We start from the raw sequence: 14,341 nt of genomic DNA on the forward strand, positions 1-14,341 counted from the left end.
TGTTGCCCAGGCTGGAGTGCAATGGTTTGATCTCGGCTCACTGCAACCTCCGCCTCCCAGGTTCAAGCGATTCTCCTGCCTCAGCTTCCCGAGTAGTTAGGATTACAGGTGCATGCGCCACCACGCCCAGCTAACTTTTGTATTTTTAGTAGAGATGGGGTTTCACCATGTTGGTCAACCTGGTCTCGAACTCCTGACCTCGTGATCCGCCCGCCTCAGCCTCCCAAAGTGCTGGGATTACAGGCATGAGCCACCGCACCCAGCCCTGTTATTATTATTATTATTATTATTATTATTATTATTATTAGAGACAGGGTCTCACTGTTTTCCCAATGCTGGTCTTGAACTCCTGGCCTCCCTAAGTATTGGGATTACAGGTGTGAGCCACCACTTCTGACTGGTACCATTATTATACAAATATAAAATGAGGAAACCGAGGCACAGAGCGGTCAAGTGAGTTGCCCGAGGATACACAGCTAGTGAATGGCTGATCGAGGATTCAGATGCAGGGAGTCTGGCCTCAGAATCTATAGCCTTCACCCTAACACACTTGGTTTGCTTCCCCCAGAAAACAAAGGGCAATGGAAGAACCTGACCATGGAGTGGTGATCGGGCTGGGCTTCTAGTGCTTTTCCTATTACCACAGGCAGAAAGCCCCCATCCCTACTTAGTCCCCTGGGTACCTGGGGCATCTCACCATTACTAGCATAGGATTTTGTGATTTGCAAGACATGTTTACACATCTACAATTTCTCTGCCCCTTCCAGCAATCAGGTGGGGAGGACAGAAGAGAGTAATTGTTATTTCTTTCTTACCAAGGCTCATAAAGGTGAAGCAGCTTGCCCGAGGTCACCCAGCTAAAACAACACAATAGGTTTTCAGGTTCCCAACGCAAGTTCTTTTATCTATACAGTCATCTCCCTTTATCCACAGGGAATACGTTCCAAGTCCCCCAGTGGATACCTGAAACCATGGATAGTACTAAACCCTATATGTGTGTAATATGTTTTTTTTTTACTATACATACATACTTGTGATAAAGTATAATTTACAAATTAGGCACAATATGAGCTTAACAACAATAATAATAAAATAGAACAATTATAACAATATACTACAATTAAATTTATGTGAATGTGGTCTCTTTTTTTTTTTTCCTCACTCTGTCACCCAGACTGGAGTGCAATGGCACAATCTCGGCTCACTGCAACCTCTGCTTCCCCAGCTCAAGCGATTCTCCTGCCTCAGCCTCCCAAGTAGCTAGGATTACAGGCATGGGCCACCACACCCGGCTAATTTTTGTATTTTTAGTAGGGACAGAGTTTCGCCATATTGGCCAGGCAGGTGAATGTGGTTTATTTCTAATTTTTCTTTCTTTCTTTCTTTCTTTTTTTTTTTTTGAGACAGAGTTTTGCTCTTGTCACCAAGGCTGGAGTGTAAATGGCATGATCTCGGTTCACTGCAACATCTGCCTTAAAGGTTCAAGCGATTCACGTGCCTCAGCCTCCTGGGTAGCTTGGGATTACAGGCACCCGCCACCACGCCTGGCTAATTTTTGTATTTTTAGTAGAGATGGGGTTTCACCATGTTGGCCAGGCTGGTCTTGACCTCAGGTGATCTGCCCACCTCAGCCTCCCAAAGTGCTGGGATTACAGATGTGAGCCACCGCGCCCAGCCTCTTTCTAAATATTTTACTGGATCATGGGTAACTGAAACTGCAGAAAGGGAGACCGTGGATAAGACAGAGAGACTACTGTACCATCCTGCCTTTTGCTGATGCCAAGGGTAGTTCCTATACCTGAAAAACATAATATAAAATACTATCTTGGGGTCGGGTGCAGTGGCTCACACCTGTAATCCCAGCACTTTGGGAGGCTGAGGCGGGCAGATCGCTTGAGGCTGGGAGTTCAAGACCAGCTTGGCCAATATGGTGAAACCCCATCTCTACTAAGAATACAAAAATTAGCCAGGTGTTGTAGCATGCCTGTAATCCCAGCTGCTCAGGAGGCTGAGGCACGAGAATCACTTAAACCTTGAAGGCAGAGGTTGCAGTGAGCCAAGATCATGCCACTGCACTCCAGCCTGGGTGAGAGAGTGAGACTCCATCTCAAAAATAAAATAAAATAAAATATTGGAACTAGACAGTCTCTTAAAGCCATGCAGTTTATGTTTGAATATGCTTGAATACCTCCAGTGATAGGTAACTCACTACCTATAAGAGGAAACTAGAGAGTGGATCCTGATGGTATACAAGAAGGAGGTGGCCTGGGACATGGCTGACCTGCTGACCTTGGAGATTTTTGCCCCACAAATGAGGCTGCAGGATTGAGTCTATCTGAGGAATGTCCTGCAGCCAGGCCCACAAGGTGTCCCTCCCAGCCCTGCCCCAGAGCCCTCTCAATCCTTCCTCTCTAAAACCGCAGCCCCTCCTTCAGAAGGAAGCCCTCTCTGCACAGACTGGTTAAGGTTTATTAGTCCTTAAAATTCCTTCGAGATGAGTTGGTATTTATTTCCCTGCAAAGCTTATGTAACCGTAAGAGGATACTGGGGCTGCCAAAGCTGTCTGTGGTTTGGATGGGGCTCACAGCGGTTTCTTCTGGGAGCTAAATATTATAATGAGTGACCTCATACTATCATTTTCTTTGGAACCGAGTTGTGCTTGTCCCAGTGGTACCCGGAGCTACCTCCCAGGCCCCTGCTGTTTTGATTCAGGCCAGGACCAGAGGGTAGAATGAAGGGAACAGGGAGAAAAAATTAGTCTGTTGAGCCAACTTGTTCACTCGGCTTCCGGGGAGGCTGAGATCTGGGTTTTCAGCCAGCGCCGAGCGCTGGGTGGCCACAGTGATTGGACTGCTGGGGAAATTATGGGAAAGGCCAGCCTTCCAGCTACTGTCTGTTTCAATCTGAGCTTTTGTAAGGATGCAGATTTGGGACTTGGAACAGGAATGGGTTGGGGAGGATCTGACTGCTGAGTGGTCACGGGCCAATCCTTAGGAACTGTTGAAGCTTGGGAAGTCTTGCATGGGGAGCCTCCAGCTGTTGAGTAAGAGGCGCCATTCGTGGAGCACTTGCTGTATACCAGGCACGAAGAAAAGCACTCTGCCTGCATTCACCAGGGGGGCTGTGTAAGACAGTGGGTTGGAGGGTCGACATAGTGTGGAATGGCTGGGTCTGTGTCCCAGCTCCACCACTTAATGTCCGTGTGACACTGGGCAATGATATAACCTATATGTCCCCATCTCTAAACAGTGGTGATGACAGCCCCCCTGTGAGGTTGTTAGGAAGATTAAATGTGATAATGCAGACAAAATGCTTGCACAGTGTCTGGTATAGAAAAGAACTCAAAAAATGTTAGCCGTCATTATCAGCGGCAGCATCTAACTGGATCCTCATAGCATCCCTAAGGGGTAGGGTCTCTTGATCTCCATTTTGCAGGTGAAGAAATGAGACTTGAGGGGTCATGTGGTTAATGAGCCACAGGACTAAGATATGAAAACTTCACTCTAGTGTCCCCTTGGCCTGGAGGTGGAAAGGGTGGGGTTTACTGCATGGATTCCTTCCTTAGGGAGCTTGAAAGCTGCCACGTGCAAGGCTAGGGAAGGGAAAGAGCTGGATTCCCTGGCCATGGAGGTCTACACTGGGAGAAAAATGGTTCTTAGAAAAGACTCTGAGGAACCTACTGGATGGTGAACTTCAAGAGGGATCAGGAATCATGTTGGTCTTGCTCACCACCACGTCCCAGTTCTGAGCACAGCGCCTGGCACCATGGTTTTTGACTGAATAAGTTACATTTGCAATGATCCTTTGAGCATTTTCATTTTAACAAGAAAAGCCTGGCTTCTTTCTCTGTTATTAACTTTTTTGACCTCAGTGACACCATGCAGGTGGCATCTACTGGGGCTGATAAATCCCCTTGGGAATAAAATGCCCAAGGCAGATGAGGGGAACACAGCTCTGGGGCCCAAGAGAACCCACAAGGGAGAGGGAAGGATGGGTTAGTGCTTCCAAAGCCCTGGTCAAGTGCCTTGAATGTAGTGGGCAGATAGATATAAAGCACCTTCTAGGTGCCCACCATGTGCATAAGTGCTGCAGACACAGAAGTGAGCAAGAGAGACAGAGAATTCCCTGCCCTTGGGGAGTGCCTGGCCTGGTCGGGAAAAGATAGCAAATGAGTAATTAAATGAGTAGTTGTTGATTATAAATTGTAGTAACTGCTGTGAATGAAAAATGCCCTAGGTACCAAGACAGAGAATCATAGAGAAGCAGAATTCCTATTTTAAAGTAGTCAGGGTAGGCCTCATGGAGGAGGTGATGTTTAAGCTCATTGGGAAACTTTGTACGACCTCGAAAGGGACTCAGTTTTCTCTCCTGATGGTCACAGGGGAGAATTGGAGGCTCATAGGCCCGAGGCTGGCATCAAAGCCTAAGTGAAGCCATGTTAAGGTATTTCTGAAGCCCCTTTTGCACTAGAATCTCAAGAGTAAAGATTCTGTCTCACCCAAAAGGCTGGGAATAATTAACAGTGAAGGGACAAAAGAGGAGCCTAGGCCGGGCATGGTGGCTCACGCCTGTAATCCCAGCACTTTGGGAGACCAAGGCAGACAGATCACCTGAGGTCAGGAGTTGGAGACCAGCCTGGCCAACATGGTGAAACCCCATCTCCACTAAAAATACAAAAATTAGCCGGGCGTGGTGGCATGTGCCTGTAGTTCCAGCTACTCGGGAGGCTGAGGCAGGAAAATCACTTGAACCCGGGAGATGGAGGTTGCAGTGAACCAAGATGGCGCCACTGCACTCCAGCCTGGGCGACAAAGTGAGACTCCATCTCAATAAATAAGTAAGTAAATAAATAAATAAATAAATACCTAATTCAAGAAAGAAATGGAGTGGCTCTAGCCAATCAGGCTAGAGGTGCTATACATCGCTATTCCGAGGGCATACATGAGGCCCGTTTTCAAGAGTTTTTCACATTTATCCCCTTGGTTCAGGATCTTCTTAAATTATTTACATGTCCCCAGCAAGAAACAGCTCTGGACTTTTGCTTTACCCCTTTGCAGAGCATTGTCAACCACTAGTCCTCTTAGTCATCCTCACCCACACTCAATAGGCCCTGCCAGTTCTACCTTTGAAGTGTACCCCAAATTCGTCCTCTCCCAGCCCCATTGCCCAGTGCTTCCTGTTCTCACCAGGCCATGTGCACACGCTGCCAGGGAGGCTTTTAAAGATGTTGGCCTCGGCCAGGCACGGTGGCTCATGCCTGTAATCCTAGCACTTTCGGAGGCCAAGGCAGGCGGATCACTTGAGGTCAGGAGTTCAAGACAAGCTTGGCCAACATGGTAAAACCCCATCTCTACTAAAAAATACAAAAAAACTTAGCTGGGTGTGGTGGTGGGCACCTGTAATCCCAGCTACTAGGGAGGCTGAGGCAGGAGAACTGCTTGAACCTGGGAGGCGGAGGTTGTAGTGACCTGAGATGGTGCCACTGCACTCCAGTCTGGGCTACAGAGCAAGACTCTGTCTTAGTGTATGCTTATTGTAACTTGGAACTAAAAAGCCCTTTCCATGGCCGTAGTGGCCCATGCCCTTTCCCATCTGCGTCTTGTACTCCACACCCCTCACCCACCGCCCTTCACCTTTCGCCAGGATTTTGTCTGAATGGATCTAGTCCCAGCTGCATACGTTCAGCATAGACAATGATTAAAACCTAGACTTCAGGGGTCTGTAGCTGGAGGCAAGTTGCTCTGTGAGCCTGTTTCCATACCTGTTCAATGAGCATAGGAAACGCCACCTCTGACAGATGTTTAAAGAATGTTAATGGGAAAGTCTCTTTCCCATTTAGGCTAAAACAAAAGTACCTCCTTAGTATACTTTATACTTTAAACCTTCCAGGGCACTTTCCCATTCGTTCTCTTATTTAAAGCTACTGAAATCTGGGCTGGGTGTGGTGGATCACTTGAGCCCAGGAGTTCAAGACCCGCCTGGGCAACATGGCGAAGCCCCATCTCTACTAAAAACACAAAAATTAGCCAGGCTTGGTGGCTCATGCCTGTAATCCCAGCTACTTGGGAGGCTGAGGCAGGAGAATTACTTAAACCTGGGAGGCAGAGGCTGCAGTGAGCCAAGATCGCACCCTGCACTCCAGCCTCAGTGACAGAGCGAGACTCCATCTCAAAATAAATAAATAAAACTATTGGTCGGGCGTGGTGGCTCATGCCTGTAATCCCAGCATTTTGGGAGGCTGAGGCAGGCGGATCACCTGAGGTCGGGAGTTCGAGACCAGCCTGACAAACATGGAGAAACCCCCGTCTCTACTAAAAATACAAAATTAGCTGGGCATGGTGGTACATGCCTGTAATCCTAGCTACTCGGGAAGCTGAGGCAGGGGAATCGCTTGAACCTGGGAGGCAGAGGTTGTGGTGAGCCAAGATCGTGCCATTGCACTCCAGCCTGGGCAACAAGAGCGAAACTCCATCTCAAAAAAAAAAAAAAAAAAAAACTATTGAAATCTGCATATGGTTGGGTGTGGTGGCTCACGCCTGTAATCCCAGCACTTTGGGAGGCTGAGGCTGGTGGATCACAAGGCCAGGAGTTCAAAACCAGCCTGACCAACATGGTGAAACCCCGTTTCTACTAAAAATACAAAAATTAGCTGGGCGTGGTGGTGCACACCTGTAATCCCAGCTACTCAGGAGGCTGAGGCAGGAGAATCACTTGAACCCAGGAGGTGGAGGTTGCACTGAGCTGAGATCACGCCATTGCACTGCAGCCTGGGCAACAGAGCGAGACTCCGTCTCAAAAAAAAAAAAAAAAGAAATCTGCATATGAAGCAGGGTGGGCGATGTGGTCTCCTTATCAAGCAGGAAGTGGCCTCAGAGAGGTTAAAGCCCTGTTCAAGGAGACACAGGGAATGGATAGTGAAACTGGGACTGCAATGACAGCTGCACTTGAACTTCTCCTGAAGGTGATGCTGCGGAGGGACCAGATGAAGACTCTGAGCCCCAAAGCCAGCCAGCATCTAAGGGACAGACCTCTGCTTTCAGGTCAGCCCCGACACGGCTGCCTGCTCAGGGAGGCCGACTTCCCTACAGCCCAATTCTGGGGCACTCACACATCTCTCAAATTCTTCAGTGTTCACCCTCTCCCTGGTCTTCTCCCATTGCACTTCTCCCGCCACTGACCTTGGCTTCTCCAGCCTTCCCTCCTCCAGTTTACAGCCCCAATTCACTGGGCAGTGTGGGGAGCTTGGGCCAAGGGTAGGATTTGGCTGTGGGGTGGGTGGGGTCACAGGGCAGCGAAAGCTTCACCAAACATCTTGCCCACTACCTCCACAGTCCAAGTCCGGGGATGCATTTCCTAAGGGGAGCCCAGTTCGGTATCTAAATCCTTCAAGGTGGGGAGCCAGAGGGAGAGGGGTGTTAAGATCTTTAACTTCCAGAATTCACATTCTTGCAATGAGCGGGACCCTGTCCGGCTAAGAAGCATCAGTACCACAGGAGGGAGTTTAAACAGGAAGAGGAGATTTTGCTTTGTGGTTGTGATTTTAATGCTCTCCCGGCTGGTTGGATGAGTGCCTACTTTCTGGGGCTGGGGTGGTAGGGTGGAGGTGAGAAGGTGGTGGGGGAAGAGAATAGGGAGGAAAGGAGAGTCCTCAAAAAAGTAGTGTAGCTGCATGGGAGAAAGCGATGTCTGAATCCTGTGAATCCCCTGGAGCTGCTTCCCAGCTGTTTGACCTTGTGAAATGGCCTAACTTCTCCCAACTTCCATTTCCTCATCTGTATAAAAGCAGGGACAATACTTCCTTTATTAAGCAAATATCTTCTGTCTGCCTACCGTATGCTTGACCCTGTGCAAATGAACAAGACAAACAGGAGACAGGATCTCTGCCGCCCTGGAGCTTATATTCCAGGAGGGAGACAAACAAGAAATACATCAACTATAAACAAACAAGATAATTTTGGATCATGCTAAGTGTTAGTCAAAAGCCGAAAGGGAGTGGGGAACATGGGACGGACAGGGAACTCCTCTCTGAGGACGTAGCCTCTGAACAGAGTCCTGGAAGCTGAGAAGTCAGTTCTGGAAATGGAGGAAGAGTGCTCCAGGCGCAGGGAACAGCAAGTGCAAAGGCCTTGAGATGGGAATGGGCTTGACGCGCTTGCAAAACAGGCAGTGGCCTGAAAATATAAAATGTGGTGAGCAAGCGGAGAAGTGGTTTGAGCAGAGGTGGGAGAAGTAGGCCAGAAACAGATCACACAGGGCTTTGGAGGCTATGCTGAGGGGTTTGGAAGGCTTTCGAGGGTAAGTTAAGCAGGAGAATGACATGATTAGGTATGTATTTGAAAAGATCACCACCATGAATTTTCTGAGCCTCATTTTCCCCCTCTGTTAAAAATGAGCATAATAATACATATCTCACAGGATTATAGAGGATTAAAAGACTTGAAAGTTAAAGCAACAAGCAAATTGATGAACATATATGCCCGAGGTGCACAACAAATGCCAGGACCATGATGTGAAGACTTTTTAGGAGCTCTGAAGAGATCTGCTTAGGAGTGAGGATGGTTCCTAAAGAGTTAATCAAACCTGTCTTGGGAAAAGCAATCCCATGCTGCTAATATAATGGTAAAGGATGCAATTCAGGCTGTTTATTTTTTAGAGATTCAGTGCTCCTATTAAGCAATCACTCTGTTTATGTCACTGCTAATTGAAGTAAATTGCTTTCTGCAATCAAATCGGGAAGTTCCCCCTTCCGATCACGAAAGGGACTTGGACTCTGGTTCCTGATTTCCAGTATTTAGTCTGACTTGAGATTTGCCCTGTAATTAATTGCATACATTCCACTGATTTCCTTAAACAAGCAGTTGGTTTGCCGTTGGGTCGGCAAGGGATGCGTTGATTTTGAAATTGCCCCTGGGATAGGAAGTGTTCCGCCTCCCTTCTCTCGCAACCCCAGCCACAGCAGCCTTCTGGCTGATGGAGCTGGTGGGGAGTGGGCCTCACAGCAGATGTGAGAGGTGGAAGTGAGCAGCAGGTGTGACCGCTGTGGTCCAGAATCCTCTTGGTGCCCCCGCCCAGTGGAGAATTCTAGTGCATTAGAACCAAAGCCCGTGAATCAGGCTGGAGGAATTCCGGGCCATGGGCACAGGCTTCCTCGCACCAATCATCAGCTCTATTTTCACTTCTCTGAGAGGCATGGGAGGAAGTGAGGGGAGGTGGGCAAAGAGCAACACTGCATCTGAATAAGCACCCTAAGAGCCCCGATCCTCTCCACGGCCCAGTCGCTGCCACCCACCCCACACCCCACCCCCAGCTCTCCGTCGTGTGCATAGGCCTGGAGGATGTTCAGGAAGGTGTGAAGGGGTACCCCAAGGAGGTGGGAGTAAAGAGTTTTAAGGCCTGTGGCCCAGCCCCAGGGAGGAGCACTCCAGCGCCTGCTCCTGGTCTTGGGGAGCAAGAGCAGGGGATGAGGAGGAGTATTTGATGCTGGACACAGCTGTTAGGTTAGGTTGCCAGGTCACTGAGAAAACAGACAGTGTCCGCCCCATCCTTCATCCTTGACGCTGAAAAGAAAAAAAAGGGCCTCAGGATTTAGTTGAAGGTGAAGACGTTGGGTGCTTTACCTTGAAGTGTGGAGAGCATCTCTTTATGGATTAATCCTGTGACCCTGCAGAAAGTGGTCTTCAAGGCCCAGCTCAGTGGCTGCCTCCCACATGAAGTCCTGTCTGATGCACTCCCCAGGAGTCTCCCTCTCACAATTCCCTTGGACTGTGTGCCTCTGGGGCAGTGCCACACCTGTCCTGCCCCGCAGTGGGCTCTATATTTGAGTTTCCTCATCCACCGACAAAGCACCTGGCGTGAGTGAGATTCTGCTAGGCTGGGGATTCTCAGGTGAGCTGAAGTCCGGAGTTCAAGACCAGCCTGGTGAAACCCTGTTTCTATTAAAAATACAAAAATCAGTGGGGCGTGGTGGCACGTGCCTGTAACCCCAGCTACTCGAGAGGCTGAGGCAGAATTGCTTGAACCCAGGAGGCGGAGGTTGCAGTGAGCCAAGATCACGCCACTGCACTCCAGCCTGGGTGACAGAGTGAGACTCCATCTCAAAAAAAGAAAAAAAAAGACTCAGTTGAGATACAACCCCTACCTTCAAAGAGCTACCAGAGCCGCAGAAGAGTTAGGTAAGTAACAGGAAGTTAATTAAAGAAGTAGCATTGGCTGGGTGCCAATGGTGACTCATGCCTGTAATCTCAGCACTTTGGGAGGCCGAGATGGGCGGATCCCTTGAGACCAGGAGTTTGAGACTAGCCTGGGCAACATGGGGAAACCCCATCTCTACCAAAACTACAAAGACTAGCTGGGTGTGGTGGTGTGCACCTGTAATCCTAGCTACTTAAGAGTCTGAGGTAGGAGGATTGCTTGAGTCTGGCAGGTTGAGGCTGCAGTGATCGCACACTTACCATGAGCCAGGCACTGTACTGAATGTTTTATATGCATTGACTTATCAAACCCCACTATATCCATACAAGGGAGAGACTCAGTATATTGAGTTTGCCGATGATGAAATTGAGGCTAAGCCACTTTGGAAAACAGGGAGGCAATTTCTTAAAGAGTTAGACAACCCATACTTTTTCTTCCCCATACAGCTCAGCAATTTCACTGCTATGTATAGACCCAAGAGAATTGAAAACATATATCCACACAAAAACATCTATACAAATATTACATAACAGTAATATTTATAATAGCCCCAAACTGGAAACAATTCAAATGTCTATCAACTGATGAGTGGATAAATAAAATGTGGTTAATTTATACAATGAAATATTATTTGACAATAAAAAGGGAAGAAGTACCAGTATATGCTACAGTGTGGATAAACCTCAAAAACATTATGCTATGTGAAAGAAGCCAGACATAAAAGGCCACATATTGTATGATTCCATTTATAGGAAGTGCCCGGAAATGCCAAATCTATGGAGACAGAAAGTAGATTGATTAGTGGCTGCCAGGGAGTGAGGATGGGATGAGGACGAACTGAATGGGCACCAGGGATTTTACTGGGGTATTAGAAATGTTCTAAACTGAATTGTGGTGATGTTTGCACAACTCAGTAATATCTACTAAAAATTATGACATCGTGGCCGGGCGCAGTGGCTCACGCCTGTAATCCCAGCACTTTGGGAGACAGAGGCGGACGGATCACCTGAAGTCAGGAGTTCAAGACCAGCCTGTCCAACATGGCGAAACCCTGTCTCTACTAAAAATGCAAAAATTAGCTGGATGTGGTGGCAGGTGCCTGTAATTCCAGCTACTTGGGAGGCTGAGGCAGGAGAATCTCTTGAACCCGGGAGGCAGAGGTTGCAGTGAGCTGAGATCATGCCATTACACTCCAGCCTGGGTGACAGAGTGAGACTCTGTGTCAAAAAAACAAAACAAAAAAAATGAGGCTAAGTAAGATGGAGCAACTTGTCTGAAGTGATTAGCTGTTAAGTGATGAAGCCAGAATTCAAACCCAGGCAGGAGTGCAGTGGCACAATCATGGCTCACCCTAACCTCGAACTCCCGGGCTCAAGCAATCCTCCCGCCTCAGCCTCCTGAGTGGTTGAGACTGTAGGTGTGCATCACCATGCCCAGTTACATTTGTTTTTACTTTTTGTAGAGATAGGGTCTTACTATGTTGTCCAGGCTGGTCTCCAACTCCTTGGCTCCAGTGATCCTCCCACCTCGGCCTCCCAGAGTACCGAGATTACAGTCAGAGCCATGGAGCCTGGCTCAGAGACCGCATTCTTAACCACTGTGCAACATTGCTTCCCTGAGGTAGCTTATCTCAGCCCAGCAGGGGCATGCTCACATAGGCTTGGGATGAGGCTGGCTTTCTTGGGATATCTCTGGGAAAAGTAACGCTTGAGTTGTGTCTGCAAGTCTTGCGTGCAAGTTCTCCTCCACCAAGAAGGCTTCTGGGTTCCCATCTTTAACCCTCCCTACCTTTTAAGAGCTGGATCTTATTGAGTAAACAGAAGAGTGAATGCCTACAGAAAGCAGGTGACACCAGCCGTCTTCCCACCATGATGAAAATCCATAATCTGGTGACTAATGTGGCCTCTGGAGAGGTGCTTAGCTGGAAACAGGCCTCACACTAGGGCTCTGGCCCCACTGAGGTCCAGGGCTGATTCCCACAGGCAGAGATGTCCTCTGCCCCTCTTTAGGCTGGAAAGAGGATAAACTTCCTTCTTTGGGCCTTTTGGGAATTCTTGGCTTTCTGGGGGCTTCTTCCAGGGGCACATTTGAATTAGGGCCAGGAAGGCAGAAGGAAACAAGCACTTTAAAAAGCATTTTCCAAAACCCTTCCAAAAGCATTTTCCAAAAACTTTCCGGTTTGGTCCTCACTGACTTAGTCACAGCAGTGTACAAAGAGCAGGGTGGCAGGAGCGGCCCCCCGGTGCAGGCAATAAGGGGGTGCATTGTCTGCAGAGAATGAAAAGAGAATAAAGAATAAAACCAACCTAAAGGTGCTTGCCATACACCAGCAATTCTAAACAATGTCAGGGAAAATATTCCTCCCACTGGGACAGGCTGCTTCTGTGCCCTGCCCTTGGTCTGCTACTGTTTGGTTAGGATAATTTAGTAGCAGGGTAACAGAGACTCATTACAAACTGGATTAAACCTAGAAGAGTGAATTATAAGGAACCAGGGTCTCTTGTGGAAAAGCCTCTGGGCAGTGCCTCTCTCCTTTCTCTGGCACCCTGTGACACCTCTGGTTTCTCTGTGTGTCAGCCTCATTGTTCCTTCTTTGCATGATGGCTTCCTCAGCTTTACTGAAGTAGCACATTCTCAGTTCAAGCAACCAGCAGAGACTGACCTGCATCTCTTAGTTCCAACTCCAAATTTCTGGGAGGCAGAATTGAACTGGTTCAGTGTAGATCCAGTGACCAACCATAATGCAATAGCCAAAGGAGGGTGTCCTAAAAACCAGGGCTTTTAGGGCACTTGGGGGTTTGTGTGCTGGCCAGACACCCCAAAACAAGTCTACTAAACATGCTGGGTGTTGTTTGAGAGAAGCTGAACAGTTCTTTCTTCAGGACCCCTAGGAACCTGTCTCTTTCCTTATATTCCTGTTTCTTTCTGATATAGCCCTTTTCACTTAAGTTAGCTGGAGTGGATTTTTATTTCTTGCAGCAGGAGAGTCCTTGACCAAAAAAAAAAAAAAAAAAAAAAAAAAAAAGAACATAAGTTGATGGGCAAAAGGGAACACATAAGAAAGGTGAACATCCCTGGTTGTGTGTGCACGTGAGTAGTGGGAAAGGGGTGGCCTCGCCTCTGAAAGAGGCATAAGTCTACGTTTATGCTTCGCAGTGGGGAATTTCCCTTTCCTTGGAGCACTTGGAAACTGACATAGGTTACAACAATGTGGAGACTTACACCTCTGCAGAAGGCAGTGGCACCTGCCTCTCCCCCTTCTTGTCCTGTACTTTCCCACAGATTTTCCATTCTACCATCCAGACAAATCTCAATATGAAATCCCCTGTCTGGATTGCCATGAGACAGATTTTTTTTTTTTTTTTTTTTTTTTTTTTAAGACAGAGTCTTGCTCTGTCGCCCAGGCTGGAGTGCAGTGGCGATCTTGGCTCACTGCAAGCTCCGCCTCCCGGGTTCACACCATTCTCCTGCCTCAGCCTCCCGAGTAGCTGGGACTACAGGGGCCTGCAACCACGCCAGGCTAATTTTTTGTATTTTTAGTAGAGATGGTGTTTCACTGTGTTAGCCAGGACGGTCTCGATCTCCTGACCTCGTGATCCGCCCTCCTCGGCCTCTCAAAGTGCTGGGATTACAAGCGTGAGCCACCGCGCCCAGCCAAGACAGATTTTTCTAATGGCTGATAAGCTTATCTCCAGGCCTTCCTCTACCCTCACCCCCAGCTGGGGAACTGTCTGTTGACTGGCAGGTAAAAGTGCAGGCTCCAAGGGCCACTTAGCATGAAAGGCCTCCTGAGGAGATACAACAGGAGGGACCAGCATCACCTATAAAGCATTCCATCCAAAAATGTTTAATCTGAATCAAATTCATCTTCTACTTCCAGTTTACAGAGATGAGGAACAGAAGAACAAGTTAAATGACATCATGAGAAAATGATCAGACCAATGGAGAATGTAGAGTGTTCAATAGGACAGCAGGGCTGGCCTCTTCAAAAAACCAATATCGGCCGGGCACGGTGGCTCACGCCTGTAATCCCAGCACTTTGGGAGGCCGAGGCAGGCAGATCACGAGGTCAGGAGATTGAGACCATCCTGGCTAACACGGTGAAACCCCGTCTCTACTAAAAATATTTTAAAAATTAGCCAGGCGGGGT

The 14,341-nt window shown here is 48.2% G+C and overlaps 2 annotated features.

Moving 5' to 3' along the window:
- Window positions 2,810-2,979: a silencer, noted in NCBI's record as "fragment chr5:141595973-141596142 (GRCh37/hg19 assembly coordinates)". NCBI's record gives its function as "represses an EF-1alpha promoter that drives an FKBP-Casp9 reporter gene in an ReSE screen in phorbol 12-myristate 13-acetate-treated (for megakaryocytic differentiation) K562 erythroleukemia cells {active_cell/tissue: K562(+PMA)}" and the evidence as "EXISTENCE:reporter gene assay evidence [ECO:0000049][PMID:32094911]".
- Window positions 9,833-9,882: an enhancer, noted in NCBI's record as "active region_23317". NCBI's record gives its function as "activates an Ori minimal core promoter by ATAC-STARR-seq in GM12878 lymphoblastoid cells {active_cell/tissue: GM12878}" and the evidence as "EXISTENCE:reporter gene assay evidence [ECO:0000049][PMID:35858748]".

Source organism: Homo sapiens, chromosome 5 (assembly GCF_000001405.40).
Source record: "Homo sapiens chromosome 5, GRCh38.p14 Primary Assembly".
NCBI lineage: Eukaryota > Metazoa > Chordata > Mammalia > Primates > Hominidae > Homo > Homo sapiens.